This window comes from Homo sapiens, chromosome 4 (assembly GCF_000001405.40).
Source record: "Homo sapiens chromosome 4, GRCh38.p14 Primary Assembly".
Taxonomy (NCBI): Eukaryota; Metazoa; Chordata; class Mammalia; order Primates; family Hominidae; genus Homo; species Homo sapiens.
The window spans coordinates 69,484,029-69,503,796 of NC_000004.12; the positions used below are offsets into that span (position 1 = coordinate 69,484,029).

General features: G+C 37.1%; 1 protein-coding gene across 3 annotated transcripts in view; it reads right to left on the minus strand.

Moving 5' to 3' along the window:
* Positions 1–19,768, minus strand: part of UGT2B4 (UDP glucuronosyltransferase family 2 member B4) — a 45,850-nt gene that overhangs the window by 3,864 nt on the left and 22,218 nt on the right. Inside the window, exons 2-6 of one of the 3 annotated variants that reach the window (NM_001297616.2) lie at positions 11,113–11,382; positions 9,665–9,813; positions 5,411–5,542; positions 2,581–2,668; positions 1,180–1,399 (exon numbers count right to left, since the gene is read on the minus strand). In NM_001297616.2, the coding sequence (NP_001284545.1) occupies positions 1,180–1,399; positions 2,581–2,668; positions 5,411–5,542; positions 9,665–9,813; positions 11,113–11,382 (859 nt within the window). Of the gene's footprint in view, positions 1–1,179; positions 1,400–2,580; positions 2,669–5,410; positions 5,543–9,664; positions 9,814–11,112; positions 11,878–19,768 lie in introns of those variants that run through there. The other 2 variants (NM_021139.3, NM_001297615.2) reach the window with 2 other exon arrangements.

The following is a 19,768-nucleotide window of genomic DNA, read 5'->3' on the forward strand; positions in this document are numbered from 1 at the left end:
ATGGTCAGTAACCACATATAAAGAACATCAACATCTCTGGCCATAATCAAAATGCAATCCAAGGCTACAATGAGAGGTCTTTTTACACCCACCAAGAATGGTATAACAAAAAGACAAATAATAACAGGTGTTGGCAACAATGTGGATGAACTGGAACCCTCCTGTACTGCTGGTGGTAATGACAAATGGAACAAGCATTTGGAAAACAGTTTGGCAATTTTCATAAACACACAGTTCCTACAAGAGCCAGAAATTCCACGTCTAGTATCTACCCAAAAGAAATGAAATCACGTTCATGCAAAAACATGTAGCAATGCTCCTAATAGCCACAACTGGAAACAATCAAAAGGTGAATGAGCTAATAAAGAGACAAATAAAATATGGCATACCCATATTATAAAATATATTGCTGCAAAAATAAATGAACTATTAATACACACAATATAAATAAAGCTAAAAACCATAAAAAAACAACAAAAACTGTACTTGGTAAAAGAAGTCATTTACACATCATAAATTATATGATTCAGTTTATATGAAATATGTAGAGAGAATAATCTATAGAGAAGGAAAGCAAATTGGTGTTAGCCTAGGGCTAAGGGGTCATGCAGAGTGACTTCTATACCATTATGGCTTCTTTTACGTTGATACAAATGTTCTAAAATTATATGATGGTGATGGCTTCATGACTGTAAGCATACTAAATATATTTGGATTTTATACTTAAATAGGTCGGTTTTATGCTATGGAAATTAAATTTAATTATCAAGTCTGTTACAATAATGATAATAAAAATAAATTTTTCAGTGAGAAAACAGATATACTTTGAGACATTTTAGATATTGAATTAAAATATTTTATTATATTACGTCAAGTTTATCTTTCCTTTCTACTGTGGATTGATTACGTCAAATTTATTTTAAAATGTCTTCTTATCTATATCACTTTAAAATTATTTTTGTGTAGAAAATTATTTCAATAATTGATTATTCATTAAATGTATGTGGTTCAAATAAAATTTTTAAATAACCACTCAAAAATAAAAGCAGATTTCAGATTGTTTAAATCACTTAAATTCTTTCGAAATCAGTCGCTTATAAAAAGGATAAAAGTCATACTCACTATTCACAAGGGAACCTATCTATAAAGACCACCGAGTAAAAAAAAAGTTATACTCACAAAGGATCATTAATTACTGTCTTCAGTGCATTGAGTAAGTCTGTACTCGACATTGTGTGGAAGTCCAAACTAACAGCTGCTCCCTTGGCCTTCATGTGTGCAATGTTATCAGGTTGATCTGCAAACAATGGAACGCCCACCATAGGGATTCCATGGTAGATTGCCTCATAGATGCCATTGGCTCCACCATGAGTTATAAAAGCTCTGGTTTTTGGGTGACCTAGGATTGGATGAATTTTAGCAAAATTATTCATAGGAATAAAATGAGAAATGCACAATGGAAGAATCTGAATGTGACGGTGTTTCCTAGATAACACACTGAACTGAATTAAAATTGTTTTTGAGACTTCAGAGGAAGGAACGCCTACTTCTGCTGGAGATGTAAGTGAAGGCTATGTGGTGTGTTTAACTTCAGACTGAAAAAATTAATACAAGATTACCAGTTGAACTAACAAAAAGGTGCAATTTAGATAAGGAAACATCATGTGCAGAAAAGAAAAAAAGCACAGAAAAGGGATGGACATGAAAGAATGTGTTCTTGTTTTTTTGTTTTTTGTTTTTTGCTTTTAATGGAGACGGAGTCTCCCTCTGTTGCCCAGGGTGGAGTGCAGTGGTGCAATCTCGGCTCACTGCAACCTCCATCTCCTGGGTTCAGGCAGTTCTCCTACTCAGCCTTCTGAGTAGCTGGGACTGCAGGGACAAACAGCCATGCCCAGTTAATTTTTTGTATTTTAATAGAGACAGAGTTTCACCATGTTGCCCAGGATGGTCTTGAACTCCTGAGCTCAGTCAATCCACCTGCATCAGCCTCCCAAAGTGCTAGGATTGCAGGCGTGAGCCACCGTGCCCAGCCAGAATGTGTTCTCTTAAGTACAGTCACGGAGTGTGATATGTAGGGTGTGCAAGGCAGCAGGCAGTGAGGTGGTGGTGGTGCTAGAATTGAGGAAAGACAGGTCACATTTCATTATGAAATGTGTCATCACTTTTTGATTAAGATTAGGGATTTAATCCTACAGAAAATGCAGCATCCCTGGTGATAGCAGAAGAGCTGTTACTTTTAGTGACATTTGAAATAACCCTACAGAGGAGGAAAGAACAGGTGTAAAGTTGTAGAAATATGAGAAAGGAAGACAACCCAGGAAGTGCCAGAAAAATTCTGTGGGAGGTAATAACACCTGAAATAAAGATACTCTGACTCTGATTGTAAAGAATGTGGGTGCATATCATAAAATGCCAACAATTTATTCTTTTCCCCCGGGACTGGAAAATAAATATAAAGAAGTTTCATTTTATTTTTAAGTTTTTCCATAACAAATGTTCAGTAAGCTTGTTTCATGATAACTATTAACACTTTAATAATCTGTTACTAATATATTCAGTATTTGTTCTTCAGAGACTTACCAAGAAGATCATTCTGGGGTATCCACTTGTACAGCCGAGTATTGAGTCCTAAAGTATCTGGTTTATTCCCATCAAATCTCCACAGAACCTGTTACAGTGAAGAAAATATCTTATTCCATGAGTGGAACTCAAAAGTCATAGAATGTTAGAAATCTAAAGAGATTAACAATGAGAAGAACAAGGGATGTTAAGTAACAAGAACTACTCAGACTGATGTAAATAGAATACTCATATTTCATTTCCTTAATTTCATAATTAGGTATATAAGGAAATCATGATTTTTCAAAATAGTAGCTTAGACAAATAAGATAATCAATGAAAAGTTCAAGTATTTAAAAAGTTGTTACACTTTTCAAAAGAAAACTATATGTGGCAAACCACTATATGAAAAAAAGGTTTACATCACTGGTCAAATCCACAAAGAGATACCATCTCACACCAGTCAGAATGGCCATTATTAAAAACTCAAAAAATAACAGATGCTTGTGATGTTGTATAGAAAAAGAAATGCTTATACTCTGTTGAAGGGACTGTAAGTTCAACCATTGTGGAAGACAGCATGGCGATTCCTCAAAATCCTAGAGGCAGAAATACCATTCAACCCAGCAATCCCATTACTGGGTATGTATCTAAAGGACTGCAAATTAGAACATGCACATGTATGTTTACTACAGACAAATATACATTTTACTCTATATAAAACTATTCACCATAGCAAAGACATGAAATCAATCTAAATGCCCATCAATGATGGATTCAATAAAGAAAATGTGGTACATGTTCACCATGAAATATTATGTAGCCATAAAAAAGAACAAGATCATGTATTTTTCAGGAACATAAGTGAGCTGCAGTCCATTATCCCTAGCAAACAAACACAGGAACAGAAATCCAAATACCACATGCCCTCACTTATAAGTGGAAGCTAAAACATGAGAACACATGAACATATAGAGAGGAATAACATACACTGGGGCTTATTGGAGGGTGGGGGTTGGGAGGAGAGAAAGGATCAGGAAAAATAACTAAAAGGTACTAGTCTTACTACCTGTAAGATGAAACAGTCCATACAACAAACCCCAAGACATAAGTTTACCTGTGTAACAAACCTCCACATTTACCCTTGAAATTAAAAGTTAAAAAATAAAACTTAATTTTAAAAAGATAAAAAATTTTAATAATTATATGCATTAAAAATTTTAGGTAGTCATAATTCTAGTGTGAAAAAGCAACAACAATTTACTAATGACCTATATGCTTTTTTAATGTATTTTATGAGTTTTCATCTACCAAATTTAATATTAATTTATTCATTTTTTTGAGTAATATGGGAAGTAGTTCACTTATATCTACTTATCTATAAGTCATTTTAACAGAGTTTGATGTCCTTTGATTGACAAAAATGCAAGTCTATAAAATAAGCTACTTGGAAGAAGTCAATTAATGCTGCAAAGGTAGCATGTATAACTTCTTGGAAATTACAAATTATCAAGAACTACTTCCAAGAAAAATTTCAAGTGACAATTTTTGACACAAATTCAGAGTATTCTCAGTATTGCTAATTTTGGATATTTTGTCAATGTAGAAATAAGGAACCTGTTGGTACCATAAATAAAAATACAACTCTTGAATAAATTCAAAATTGCATTTTGCTGAATTTTGGTCAATTGATTGTTAACACTTAGAAAATGTGCTACAAAATTTTGACAACAGTGATTCGTATGTTTTGCTATAGCTGAGACATTTTTATGTTTAAGTTACTAATTTTGGAACCCCCAAGGAATCCTTATAAATTAAAAAAAAATAATTTACGGTGTTTAAGTTCTATTTGTTACATCAGTGTTAAAGTAACTTTGAGTTTTTGGCAAAATATTAGCATAGGTCATTACAAGAAGGATATGTCAGGCAGGGAACTAAAAAGTAATTGACAAATACACATTTTATTCTATATAAAAGAAAATATGTTCCTACTATGTTCTATGGAGGGGGCATCTGAACCTGTTCCCCTGCCTGGCTTCCTTCTGCTTGAGTCCTTTCTATATTTCCTTCTGCTGCCTCCATTGGGAGGAGTTGTTAATCTCATAGTGCAGCGTCCTTGTGGGGCCACATTTTATACTACACAGGGTCCACCCTCAGAGCAGGATCCATCTCCACCCTTTCTCTTTCATCTGCCTACTTCAGACATTGGCTGGGTCCAGTCCAGCAAAGCAGGCTGCTTTTTCTCTTTCTCCAAATCTGCCTAGCTCTGCGGATCCTTACACTAGTTGTCTGACAGCCTAGGCCTTCCTTTCTCTGAATAGTACCCTGAATATCACTTGAATAGGCCTATTCCAAAATGTACAGGAAGTACACGAGGCTGGGTAACATGGCAACACTAAACTGCATGATGCATGTCAGCCTTTTTGAAATACCTGCTATTGTTATTGTGCTAGTGAAGTTACTCATTAAAATGTAACGTTTTCTAACACCTGTAGGATGTACATCGCCCTCAGGAGTTCTTAAACAAAAGGATCAAATCACAGGGGCAGAATTTGGTGATAGCTCTTACCTGACCCCAGTATCATGATAATACCAAAACTTTACCTGCAACTCTTAATTGTATTTATTCCTGATCACAATATTAATGCCAAATTAATTACCAATGAAAAACACCTTCTGTATGAGTTTATCATCTTCCATACATATTTTTGATTTTGAATTAATATCTGAGATAATTAGTGCTTTCCCAACAGCTGAATATATAGGCAGGAAGTTTCTACAATTGGGTTCTTTACAAACTTTAACAGCCTCTTTCAGTAGTTTTTTACACCATTAAAACATTTTATCTTACCTTTTGTGGGATCTTGGCAAGGGCTGATGCAATTACATTGGCCCTTTCTTCTGACGTGTTACTGACCATCGACCCCAGAGAAAACACCACAACACCATTTTCTCCAGAGCTCTGGACAAACTCTTCCATTTCCTGTGAAAAAAAAGAATTTGTTCTATCATAATAGATTATCAGCACAGCAAGCACTGTGAAAGAATTGTTATAAAAAGAGAGAAAATCAAGTTTTATCAGGAATTATTGGAGTAAAGGATGTTTTTTAACTGACTCAATTACTCAGTTTTTTTTGCAATATGTATAATATGAGATAGGTTGCCTCTGTTAAGGGTCTTTGTGTAAATATGTGTGTGTGTATGTGTGTGCGTTTGTGAAAGGGAGAAATGAAATAGAGTTATTACACAGTATTTGAGGAGATACCCAAACTCTTCACTTATCATATTATAAGTACTAATATAGGTTCTTTAAAGTGGCACCAGTTGGCTTTAATGCTATATTGTTGCTCGCTAAATCACATATGCTTATTTTAGGCAGGTTTTCTACAGAATTATTTTAGTTTGAAGTCATTAGTGGTTGACTTCCCTGACTCTGAGCACTGAGGAAAAGTTACTCACAGCTGGGATTACGTAAACCTACATTTATCTTATTCTATAATCCTTTACACTTCACTTAAAGTTTGTCAGAGTTTTCCAGTCTTTTTTCAAAAGAGAAAAAAAAGTAGCTGTAAAAGGTGGTGGTTAAGAATCACTGACATTATGGAGTCTGCTGTTGTGGTTTGGAATTTCTATAAATTTCTATAAATAATTCTGTATTCTCATTTGTAATACAGAATCGTACAGTATGTAGTTACATAGTCGAATGATTATATTTTTCAGGTGATTGTTTAAGTGGAACAATTTTTCCCTGAAATCACACTGTTAAATTGATGTGCTATTTATAACTGCATGTGAGGAATTCTCATCATCATTTTGCTGTGTCTCAGAGGCAGCAGCACTTGCACCAGAATGCGAGAGACTGCCAGAACTTTCTGCAGAGATTTGGTCACCCTCTTGAGTAGATCACCCACACTACATAAAAATCTTAGTGAAGATGTACTTGGCTGGAATTTACTGGGAATCATTCTGACCTGTGTTCCCCAATGTACGCCAATTTTGAAATTTAAATACTTTCAGATTTAATCATTGGGGTAAAACTTTTTCTTAAGTGTTCTCTACAAAACAAAGAAAAAAGATTCCAAATGTTTATTTGCAGACCACATATGGCTAAGCATTTTTTAAAATATGATTTTTAATCTTAAGACATCAGTGTTAATGATGTTAGAGTCATTGTTCTGCTATTCAAGGTAATACATAGGATATCCAGGTATTGTGCGTAATTGCAGTTACCTGTAGCCACATTTGATGTAACTTACGTTCAGTGTTTTGTTTCAGTGGCTTGATGTCCAGAGCCGCCTTCATCCACCCAGTGTTAAAGTAATATAATCCCTAAAGGGGATTCATTATTGATGTGGACTGGTTGTTTCCCATTCTGTGACAACTTTAAAATAATAATACACTATGTATGTAAGGTATTTTATAGAAGTAGTGCAAGTTCTAAAAAGAAAATAATTTTTTTTCTAAAATTTTTGTCGAGAGATGTCACCTTGTAAACTACATATGTTTTCATCATGGCTTTTGTTCTATCTTTATAGTTCAATGTACACTTGTGACGTTTATTTAGACAATTTTATTCTGATTGTATATACCTTTTCCTCCTACAAAAAACGTGTCAGCCTGTAATATTTATAATTTTCTACCTCACTTTACTTGTATTATAGCTGACTGTAACTGAATATTTTATTGATAAAATTATTGTAATGCTATAGTATGCATCTAGTATATGTTTTTAATTATTCCTTAATTTCAGATGTTTGATTACTTTTGATGTTTATTTTATGAATATTTTCCATAAATATTAAATATGTACATCTTGATTTATTTTTTCTCTGTATGATTTCATGTGAATATATTATAAAACCAATGGCTATATGCATTTTTAATACTTAATACATTTGCCAAGTGTCCTTTTCTCTTAAAGTATGCATAAATTATCTGAGAATCTAATATTTAATTGAATAGAAAGCAAATTGGGTTTGCAGTTATTTTACATGATAAACAATTAGAGAATGGCTTTCACAACCATTGACTTGCATTCAAAGCTTTCTACAAGTTAGTAACAACAGCTAGTATTAGTAATTATCACATGTACTACGACTCAATCTTTTTCTTATCCTTCCACACCTCGTACTCTCTTCTCCCTCTTACTGGCACTGTCAGTTTCCCTTAATGTGAGTGGGGAAATCTTTCAAGAGTAGGATAGGGTGGGACAGAATTTTCATTAGTCTTATCTCAGCTTTTGTCTCTTTAGAAAGTTACCATATAAAGCCCATACAATTTGCATTCAACATAGATATTGGATTTTAACCATGGAATAAAATATCAGTTTCATGTTGCTGTTAATAAGGAGGTAGGCAAAAATTATCTCTTAAGAGATTACATAATGTAATAAAAATGCTTACTTTCTACCTATTTCTTAGAAGGGTGATATCAATTTAAAATATATTACATTCTTATATTCCTCCATAAAGAATATAATGTTATATGATGACAGAATTCTTTTATTATTGTAAACTGAGGGCACGATTCAGATACGAGTGGTAGAAATTATTTGGTCTTTATTATACATGCGTTGTTCATTTTTTCTGTGCTTCTCTCTCAGGCACTTATGATGTTGAGACACAAGCTATCCCAGGAAGCTTTACTGGGTTGCTTGTCTTAAGGCAGAAAACACCTGCTCTAATAGGGTATGTTTATGCTAAGATGTAAACCTCTGGGATCTCAACGCAGAATGATTTAAATGCTTTAGTAAAATCAAGTGAACACTGGGTCTGGCTGCAAATACTAATAGAATCACACATTTATATCGGTAAGGGATTATTTTCTTATAAGTTAGAATACTGATGAAGATCCTTGTCACTTGTGGTAGAATTTTACAATTTCATTTTGCTCATCTTACTGTCAAAACTGATATGTCTTATTTTAAACAAGTCTACAGGGTATCTGTCATATAGAAGACCATAGGACTTTGTTAGAGAATATAATCTTGAAATGCTGAATAATTAGTTTCTATTAAATGAGGAATAATATCTCAAGTGACTTACACATGTTAAGTAATTCATAGTATTAGTAATAACAAAAATAACCATAATTGCAAAATAATATTTCTGAATCACTAACTATATGCCAGAGACATTTTAAGTGGTTTATTTGTATTAACTTTTTTCCACACAACACAATATGAAGTTAGTCATATTACTGTAAAAGTAGGCATAGGTAATTCTATCCACTTTCTAGTCCATTTTTCCATCATCTGCTACCTGAATTCATACAAAATTTCCTCAATGGTCAGCTCTTTCTAGTTTGGCCCTTCCACAATTTAATCCATCGAACATCTTGGAATCTTTTTTTAAAAACTATAATCTTATCCCATATTTTCTTTTCTTAACTCTTTTTAGTAGTCCCTAAATGTGCTTAATAAATATTTCAACTCCTGAGGAGTATCTGGCTCTTATCTTGCCTATCAGCATCATCTGATTCTTACTCAGTATCTTCCTTGCAAACTAAACTTTGAGTCTTGAGAACTGTCCTGAACACTTTACCTGCTTTTCTTTTTGTGTTTTTTTCTCTTCTTCATTCTTTTACCTATTCCTGCATATAGTTCAGCTCTCATCTAAATTATTAATATCAGTGACTCCAGGATACTCTCTATTATCTACACTGGATGCTTCCTTAGCATTGGTTTTTCTCTGGAGATAACAGTTTTTACACAGTTTTTATTACTTGCATATATTCTATCTTTCAAAATAGAATGTAAGGTGTGTTGGGATAGAAACTGTGTCCCATACACGTACCTGTGGTGTGTGCTAATCTCTTTATAAATATTCTTTGAATGAATGGCCAGTACCTTCTTATATGTTGCATAATCAAAGCTTTAATTTACCAACCCTATTTTCAAAGTCTCTTTAGTATCCCTCTTTATTGGTAATAATGATGAAATTCATAAACTTGTGATAGTATCAACATGTACGTCAGTTTCTAATTGGTATCTGCTTTACTCTTCCCACTTCCACCTTTCTTCCAGTGTAAGTCAAACACTTTGAATGAATATAGAACCATTCGTACTGAAACTTCAAAGCAGACAAAACAAACAGTAATAGTTTACCTTCGGTAGGGGTTTGGCAGGTTTGCAGTGGAGTCCTCCAACGAACTCAACATTTGGTAAGAGTGGGTGAGGAAATTGAAAATCCCAGTAGTTTCGAATAAGCCATATGTCAGCTTTTGCCATTGTCTCAGATAACGTAGTGGGTCTTCCTGATGGGGGAAAAAAAAAGAAAAGATAGATGACACAAGATAATTAAACTAGGTAATTTTCTGAAAGAAGTTAGAATAATGTGGGCAAAAATGTAGGCAAAGTGTTTGTGCCTTGAAAAAAAATACATATATTCGTATATAGGCATAATTTAATTTTTATGTATTATATATTTTACCCATGTGTATTTACAAGAAAGGCAAAGTGGTGAGAGAATCATGAGGGAAAACTGCATCCCTCATGTCACATCAGTATATTCACAATCACAAACAAGCCATAGAGAATTAATCTCCATTTCTTTATTTTGTAAACCTTCGATAGTAGCAGATATACGTATAAACCACTCTTTGAGCTCCGTGATCAATTAATTCTACCATACCCATAAAAACAATTTTCTAACAAATAGTCTAATTTCCCATTCATTAATCTAATCTTTTATCTTTGGTTCTTCAGGTTAACTGTTGATTATTTTGAAATGATGGCTGAAATCCTTGTACCTACTACTGCTTTTGAGTCATGCTAACCTCATAATAATATTAGTTTTTAGGTAAATATGTTTGCAAATTACAGCTAGAAAATTTTGAGAACTTGTTGAAACAGAAATTTGCATTCAACCTTAATTTGGCTCATATTTTTAAAGAAAGATACATAGTTTCAAAAAAAAACTATACAGTTGTAACTTAATGTTCACACTTTGACAAGATGATTAGCCTTAAAATAAATGGTTTCCAATCCTTTAGTGAAGGAATAGAAACACTGGAAACTTCAAATAACATGCATTGGTTTTTGATTCTGAAATGGAGACATCATTTCTCTCAACTGTGGAGGAAACGTTCTAGTAACATGGGTACATATTGCAATTACTAAATAATAAGACTGAAATATACAAGAAAAAACAATTTCTGCAATGTTATATAGATAGTTCTAAAAAATGTGTAACTACTCAATCTACCAGTATGCATTCAGCAAGATGTTTCTGAATAAGTCTGACTTTTTTTTAAGATGAAAAAATGTATAATAAAACAGATATGTGATTGCTTAAAGAAATCTTAGGTGCACTAATATACAGGCTTATGACTTCCTGGAGTCTTCTGTATGAGTGATGGCCACAGAGTTTTAACTGATCCTATAATTTACATTTTCTATAGTGCTTGTGAGTTTGGTAGATCATCTTACAATTTCATTTGATAAATTCATTACAAAAATACCCCACTACCCTGACTTTATGGCTTTATACAAACTCAGCTTCAAAGGTACAAGAAAGTTAGATCTTCATGTTACCAATCAAAAAAGTTACTTACCTAGAACTTCACTGTAGAACTGATCCCACTTCTTCATGTCAAATATTTGGAACCAAAATTCAAAATAAAGCACATAGATCATATTTTTTACCCTCTCTATGAAAGTCATTTGGTCACTTAGTTCTGACATAACAACAGGCACATAGGAAGGAGGGAACAGAAGTCCTCCACTATGCTTTTCAATTGCGTAGCCAGGAGAGAAGCGGAGGCTGTAGACAAAGGGTATTTTAAGTAACTCGGCCAGCAGCTCACCAAAGGGGAAAACAGCATCTGCAAGAACAACATCAAATCTTGACTCCTGTAGTTTCTTCATAAGTTTCTTATTTGAAACTATATCCTTACAGAACTTTCTAAGTATGTCATTAAATGTCCACATGATTTCTTGTACTTGTGAAAAATATGACCAAAATGTGTCTTTTGGAAGTTCTGCCCATCTCTTAACCAGCTGCTTGATAATATCCTCAAACTCAGTTTTAGTTAAAGATACAGGATAAACTTCAAATTTAAGAGTAGATGGGCTGTTGGGATCGAAAGAAATGGAAGCTGAAGATGCCAATACAGTCACCTCATGACCTCTCTGGACAAGTTCATCCAGGATTGTCTTTATATTCATCCAGTGGCTGAATTCTGTGGGCCACACCAGCACCTTTCCACAACTCCCAGAGCTAAAGTAACAGCTCAGCTGTATCAGCAGAAGAGCTGAAGTCCATTTCATAGACATCCTGATGCAATGCAATGCTTGTTTTCCAGTTGCTGCTCCTTTCTGTCATTTCTCATGGTGACATCCAGTATAAATCAGTCAAGAAGTTAAAATGTAACTTTTACACTTCAAAGTAAATACATTATATTAACAGTCTGAGCATGTGGATGACAAAGAGACAAATAAAAGGTAGATGACCTGTTTACACAAGTGCGTTTAATGTTCTTTTTGGATTTTTTTTTTTTTGAGAGCTCACTGCAAGCTCCTCCTCCCAGGTTCACACCACTCTCCTGCCTCAGCCTCCTGAGTAGCTGGGACTACAGACAGGCACCTGCCACCGCACCCAGCTAATTTTTCTGTATTTTTAGTAGAGATGGGGTTTCACTGTATTCGGCAGGATGGTCTCGAACCCCTGACCTTGTGATCTGCCCTCCTTGGCCTCCCAAAGTGCTGGGATTACAGGCGTGAGCCACCGCACCCAGCCCTAGATTTTTAAGTGCTGTAATTCAGCTAATATCAATGATCTTGGATGGACTCATCACCTGACTCATGTAATATATTTCAGAATAGTGTGCATAAGAGTAGCAGTGAGAGGCTCATGTTCCTGCAGTCTCTTTGACACAGAACTAAAGATAAAATAGCTAAATGTGGTTCAAAAACTTTTGTAAATTTGTTGACGTATAATTCAGATATCATACAAATTATCAATTATTGTGTAAAATTTAATGTTTCATAGTATATTCACAGAATTGTGCTTCTACCGTAAGAGTCAATTTTAGAGAACTCTTATCTCCTAAAAATAAACCCTATAAGCTTTAGCCTTTTACTCCCTACCCCTTCTTTCTGCATTTGTCCTATCCTGGGCAACTGCTACTTGAATTTCTGTCTCTATAGATTTGCCTATTCTGGACATTTTTTAAATACATGGAATCACACAATATGTGATATTTTATGGCTGGCTTATTTTACTTAGCATAATATTTTAAAGGTTCATTTATGATATAGCATTTACGTGTTGATTCTTACAACCATCATGTATGATTTAGAGAGTTTCAAGATGAAACTATTCCTATAGACTTTGTTGAATTAATGAAGGACAAAGGGAGGGGAAAAAAAAAAAAAAAGTAAACCAAGCCTGTAGTACATTCAGTATTAATTATTACATTAGCTTGCTCTCTGACTCACTTCCTAATAGTTTTTTGGCTATTGTCTTAGAATTATGCAGACATTGTTACAAGATTAAAGTTCATCTTAACTGTTCTATAGATAATAACTTAAACATTTTGAAATGTGGTTTTCTCTTTGAGGTATTCCTTCAGGTCCAGCATACTGATGAAACTACTGACTCAGCTGGTCTGAGGGACCTCCCTGATGCCAGCTGCTCTCAAGGACCCCACAAGGAGCTGACTCACCAAAGAATGCAGTTTCCAACTCCTACTGATTTTATCTTCATTATCCTGACTAATCTATGACTCCAATTTTTCAGTCCATCACCCTCCATTAACCCCTTAAAAACTCCAGCCCAGATTTCCTTGAGGAGGTAAGTTTGAGGGCCTCCAACTATCTTCCTTCTCAGTGCCCTCCAATTATTATACTCTTTCTTTGTTGCAAAACATAATGTCTCATTGTAATTGGTCTATTATTGCAGAGTGGGCATATGAACCTGTTGGCCCTATAACAAAGACTTCAGTGGAGGAAATAACTGCAGATGTGGTGGAAATAGAAAGATAACTCAAATTAGAAGTGGAACTTGAAGACGTAAGTAAACTGCTGCAATCTCGTGATAAAACAAATACATGAGGAGTTACTTCTTATGGAAGAGAAAAGAAAGTTGTTTCTTGAGATTGAATCTACTCCTGGTGAAGATTATGTGAACATTGCTGAAATGACAACAATAGATTTAGAATATGACTTAAATTTACTTAATAAAGCAGCATTAGACTTTCAGAGGATTGATTCCAGTTTTGAAAGAAGTACCACTATGGGAAAATTGCTATCAAACAAAAATGTATGCTAAACAGAAATCTTTTGTGAAAAGAAGGGTTAGTGGATGTGGCATATGCCATTGTTTTCTTACCCTTAAGAAAGTGCCACAGTCACGCCAACTACTAGCAGTCACTACTCTGATGAGTTAGTAGCCAACAACATTAATGCAAGACTCTCCACGAAGAAAAAAGTTTACAACTCACTGAAGGCTGAGATGAGTGTTACTACTTTTAGCAAAGAAGTGTTTTTAATTAAGGTGTGTACTTTTTTTGAACTTAATACTACCACAGAATTAATAGACTGCAGCATTGTGTAAACATAACTTTTATGTGCCAGAGAAACCAAAACAAATTGTGTGACTCACTTTATTGCATGTTTTGCTTTATTGTAGTAGCCTGGAACCAAATCTGCAACATCTCAGAAGTATTTCTTGTGTTAGCAAAATCACTTAATATGAGGTATACTCTTGAAAATTATTATAAGTGGGGGAGTGGGCAAGATGGCCAACTAGAAGCAGCTCATATGCATGGCTCTTGTGGAGAGAAACAGATGGAGTGAGTAAATACAGCACCTTCAGCTGAAACATTCAGATACTTGCATTGGGACTAATCAAGGAAGCAACTGATACACAGAGAATGGAGAAAAACAAGACAGCTATGAATCCATTTGATTTTGGGCTTTTTTTTTTTTTTGGTTGATTGGTAGGGTATTTATTACTGCCTCCATTTCAGAACTTGTTATAGGTCTCATCTTATTCTCAGTTCATCTTTGGGAGGGTGTATGTGTCAAGGAATTTATCTACTTCTAGATTTTCTAGTTTATTTGCATAGAAGTGTTTATAGTATTCTCTGATGGTGGTTTGTGTTTCTATGGAGTCAGTGGTCATATCCCCTTTTATCATTTTTTATTGTGTCTATTTGATTCTTCTCTCTTTTCCTCTTTATTAGTCTAGACTGCTGTCTATTTTATTTTATTTTTTCAAGAAACAGCTCCTGGATTTGTTGATTTTTTGAATAGTTTTTCATGTTTCTATCTCCTTCAGCACCACTCTGATCTTAGTTATTTCTTGTCTTCTGCTAGCTTTGGGGTTTGTTTGCACTTGGCTCTCTAGTTCTTTTAGTTGCGATATATGTGTCAATTTGAGGACTGTCAAGCTTTTTGATGTGGGAATTTAGTCCTTTAAATTTCCCGCTTAGCAATGCTTTAGCCGCATCTCAGAGATTCTGTTATATTGTCTTTTTGTTCTCACTGGTTTGAAAGAACTTCTTGATTTCTGCCTTAATTTCATTACTTACTCAGGAGTCATTCAAGAGCAGGTTGTTCAATTTCCCTGTAGTTGTGGGGTTTTAAGTGAGTTTCTTAATCTTAGGTTCCGATTTGATTGTGCTGTGGTCGGAGACACTGCTTATTATGATTTCAGTTATTTTCATTTGCTAAGGAGTGTTTTACTTCCATTTCTGTGATTGATTTTAGAGTAAGTGCAATGCGGTACAAAGAACAATGTATATTCTGTTGTCTCTGGGTGAGGAATTATGTAGATATCTGTCACGTCCACTTGATCCAGAGTTGAGTTCAAGTCCTGAACATTGTTGTTAATTTTCTGTTTTGAAACTCTGTCTAATATTGACAGTGGGGTGTTAAAGTCTCCCACAATTATTGTGTGGGAGTCTAAGTCTCTTTGTAAGTCTCTAAGAACTTGCTTCATGAGTCTGGGTGCTTCTGTATTGGGTGCATATATATTTAGGATAGTTAGCTCTTCTTGTTGAATTGAACCCTTTACCATTATGTAATAGCCTTCTTTATCTTTCTTGATCTTTTTGGTTTAAAGTCTCTTTTGTCAGAAATTAGGATAGCAAGACCTGCTTCTTTCTGCTTTCTATTTGCTTGGTAAATTTTCTTCCATCCCTTTATTTTGAGCCTATGTGTGTCTTTGCAAGTGAGATGGGTCTGTTGCATACAGCATGCTGATGGGTCCTGACTCTTTATCCAGCTTGTCATTCAGTATTTTTTAATTGGGGCATTTAGCCCATTTACTTTTAAGGTTAATATTGTCATAATCCAGTTACTGAGTATATACCCAAAGAATATAAATTATTGTATTTTAAAGATACATGCACACATATGTTCATTGCTGCACTATGCACAATAGCAAAGAGATAGAATCAACCCAAATGCCCATCAATGATAGACTGGATAAAGAAAATGTGGTACATATACACTGTGGAATACTATGAAGACATAAACAAGAATGAGATCATGTCCATTGCAGGGACATGGATGCAGCTCGAAGCCATTATCCTCAGCAAACTAACACAGAATCAGACAACCAAATACCACATGTTTTCACTTATAAGTCAGAACTGAACAACGAGAACACGTGGACACATGGAGGGGAACAACACACACTGGGGCCTGTTGGGATAGGGAAGGGAGGGCATCAGGATAAATAGCTAATGCATTCCGGGCTTAATACTTCGGTGATGGGTTGATAGCTGCAGCAAACCACCATGGCACATATTTACCTATGTAACAAACCTGCACATCCTGGACATGTATCCTGAAACTTAAGACAAAACAAATACAATGAAGAACAACAACAAAAATAAATTATTAATAAATGACCTTTGAACAAGGAAAGGAAGAAGAAAGGAAGAAAAGAAAGAAAGCAAGAAAGAAAGAAGGAAGGAAGGAAAGAAAGAAAGAAAGAAGAAAGAAAGAAAGACAAGAAAGAAAGCAAGAAAAGAAAGCAAGAAAGCAAGAAAGCAAGCAAGAAAGCAAGGAAGAAAGAAAGAAAGAAAGAAAGAAAGAAAGAAAGAAAGAAAGAAAGAAAGAAAGAAAGAAAGGAAGGAAAGAAAAGAAAGCAAGCAGGATGATGGTCCATCCAGGAGCAATGCAGAGCCAAGCAAACATCCCTGATCCAGGGAAGTGATGAGTGAATGTGCAACTCCAGGTAACATGCTTCTCCCACAGATCTCTGCAACCCTCGGGTCAGGAAGTCCCCTCATGAACCCACTCCACCAGGGCCTTAATTGTGACACACAGAGCTACATGGAGTTTAGGCAGAGCAGCAGCTCAGGCATGTGTAGAGACCTGGGAGTTTTAGATACCCCAGCTTTCTGGGCTTCCTGGCAAAAGTAGCTGTAGTTCTGGCAAAGTGGGAGGTTAGGAATGTGACCATATTCCTAGCAAAGAGGTTGAATTCAGGCGGCCACCTGCAAGCGCCACCCTCACAACACCTCACAGGATAAGACCCACTGGCTTGGAATTCCAGACAGTCATGGTAGCAGTGTTGTGCCTACCGGGGATGGAGCTGGGGGTTGGGTGCAGAGGGGTAGTGTGCAGTGAGGACTGCCATTTTTACTGTTTGAGCAACTTAGCTGTTCTGCCATTTGAGCTTTGGAGAGTCCAGATGAACTGGGCCGGGGGCGGGTGGAAGGAATCCCTCAGCTGTTGCAAATCTACTCTACCTAAACTTGGCCAGACTGCTTCTTTAAGCAGGTTCCAGATCCTGTTCCTTCCTATTGGGCGGGACCTCCAAACAGGGGCTTCTAGCCACCCCAATCAGTGTTCTCCCGCCACTAGAGATTTGAAAACACCCTGGGAGAGGGCTCGCAAGAGGTGTGGGCTGCCATCTTTGCTGTTTGGGCGACTTAGCAATTTCAACTTGGAGGCTTTGAACAGTCCAAGATGACTGGGGTGAAAGTGATAGCCCAGCACAGCAAAGCAGTCCTACAAAAATGTGTGAGCAGACTGCTTTTTTAAGTGGATCCCTGACCCTGCTCCTCATCACTGGGTGGAGTCTCCCAACAGGGATTTTGGGTACCGCCACTGGTGTTCCTTAGCTGACAGAGTTTTCAGGTATAGGGTTAGTATAGAGCTTCTGGGGAAGGGGCAGGCTGTCATCTTTGCTGTTTGGGCAACCTAACCAATCCTGCCTTTGAGGTTTGGAGGTTCCAAGGTGACCAGGGGCTGATATGTACCCCCAGCACAGCACAGCTGCTCTATGAAAATGTGGTCAGCTGCTCTACTTAGACTCCACGTAGCTCTGTGTGTCACACTTAAGGCCCTGGTGGAGTGGGCTCATGAGGGAACTTCCTGACCCGAGGGTTGCAGAGATCTGTGGGAGAAGCATGTTACCTGGGGCTTCACATTGACTCATCACTTCCCTGGGAGGTTCATTTGCCTCTGCATTGCTCCTGGGTGGGACATCATCCTGCCTTGTCTCTCTTTCCCTTCCTTCCTTCTTTTCTTTCTTTCTTTCTCTCTCTTTCTTTCTTTCTTTCTTTCTTTCTTTCTTTCTTTCTTTCTTTCTTTCTTTCTTTCTCTTTCTTTCTTTCTTCTTTCTTTTCTTCATTCAGTTGTTATTTATTAATAATTTATTTTTGTTGTTGTTCATTGTATTTGTTTTATTTTAAGTTCCAGGATACATGTCCAGGATGTGAAGGTTTGTTACATAGGTAAATATGTGCCATGGTATTTTGCTGCAGCTATCAACCCATCACCGAGGTATTAACACAGTCCTTCTGACTGTGTTAGACCTCCCAACTGGGGTCTTCAGACACCTCTTAGAGGTGTGTTTGGGCCAGCAACAGGTCTGTACCTCCCTGGTACAGAGCTATTCGGAAAAAGGGCAGGCTGCCATCTTTGCTGTTTCTCATATTTCACTGGTAATACCTTCAGGTACTGGAAAATCTGAGGCAACTAGGGACTGGAGTGGGCCCCCAGCATACTGCAGCAGCCCTACAGAAAAGTGACCAGACTGTAATGTGGTTGCCTGTTCCCATATCTCCTCACCAGGCAGATCTCCCAAGCCTGGGCCTCTAGCCACTCCCTGCCAGAACTATTGAGCTATTAGCGACTTGGAAACTCCCTGGACAGAGCCTCCAGGGGCCCCTGAAAGCCTCTCTGCCACAGCTTCTGTGGTGGAATTTACCTTGCTACCCTCAGACTACCAAAGGATCAAAGACCCTAAATGCCATATTCACACCCCCAACAAGCTCCAGTTGGTTCAGGAAGAGGAGGCCTGACCATCCCCCATGGATCCCACACATCTCACTGCTAGTCACAAAACAGGGAACCCCTGGCTTGGGCCCACAGAACAGCGTCTCCATCCTGGGATGATTGCATTGAGTGATTGCTGACCAGCACCTCTCTGGGGGGATCCTCCAGGAGACAAGCAAAGTAGTGGAGCAGTAAGCCAGCTGATGTGAAGCCAAGAGGGGTTGGTGTGGGAGCATCTGTAGCAAAGTGTGACCATCAAAGGCCATCTCTTTAGGCTTAACTTGGTCACATAATAGACTTTAGCCCTAGGGGAACTGTCAAACCTGGTCTTTTCCGGGCAATTCTGCACATCAGATGAGGCTGGTTCAACTTGAGCACTCCTTGGACTTCTGCCCTTCCCCAGGGCCCCAGCCTGGCCATGACTGCTTACAGGGTAGTCTTTGGTGCCCTGGGGGCTCACACCATAGCTTCTGCAGCAGTGGACTGTGCCTGACTGGAGAACTCCAGCAAGGTGGCCCCTATAGCCATGCACCCAGTCTACATGTTCTCTCCCAAGACTGCAGCTTCTCCTGAGTCCACAGCAACTTCCCATGCCACTGTGCTGATGCAAATCTGCATGAGTGAGTTTAGCTTTACTTGCCCCAGCAGCACACAGGAGTGCAGTACACCCTCCTACTGCACCCCTCCCCTCTACTGACAGCCTTTGCAGATGTAGCCTTGGCAGGCACAGAACCAGACAGCCCTGACCCTGCCAGTCCCCCACCCTTGTGCTAAAGCTGCACAGAGAACAGGAAATCCTCCCATAACCTAAGTGATCACTCTTAACTTGTGGAGCACAGAGAAGAGACTCAGAATTGTGCTGCCCAGCAACCCACCCTAATCCAACACCACCTCCACTGTAACAGCACACAGTCTCCAGCAGGGGCCTTCCACTCCTCCTCCAGTTGCCTTGCTTCAGCCTTCGTGATG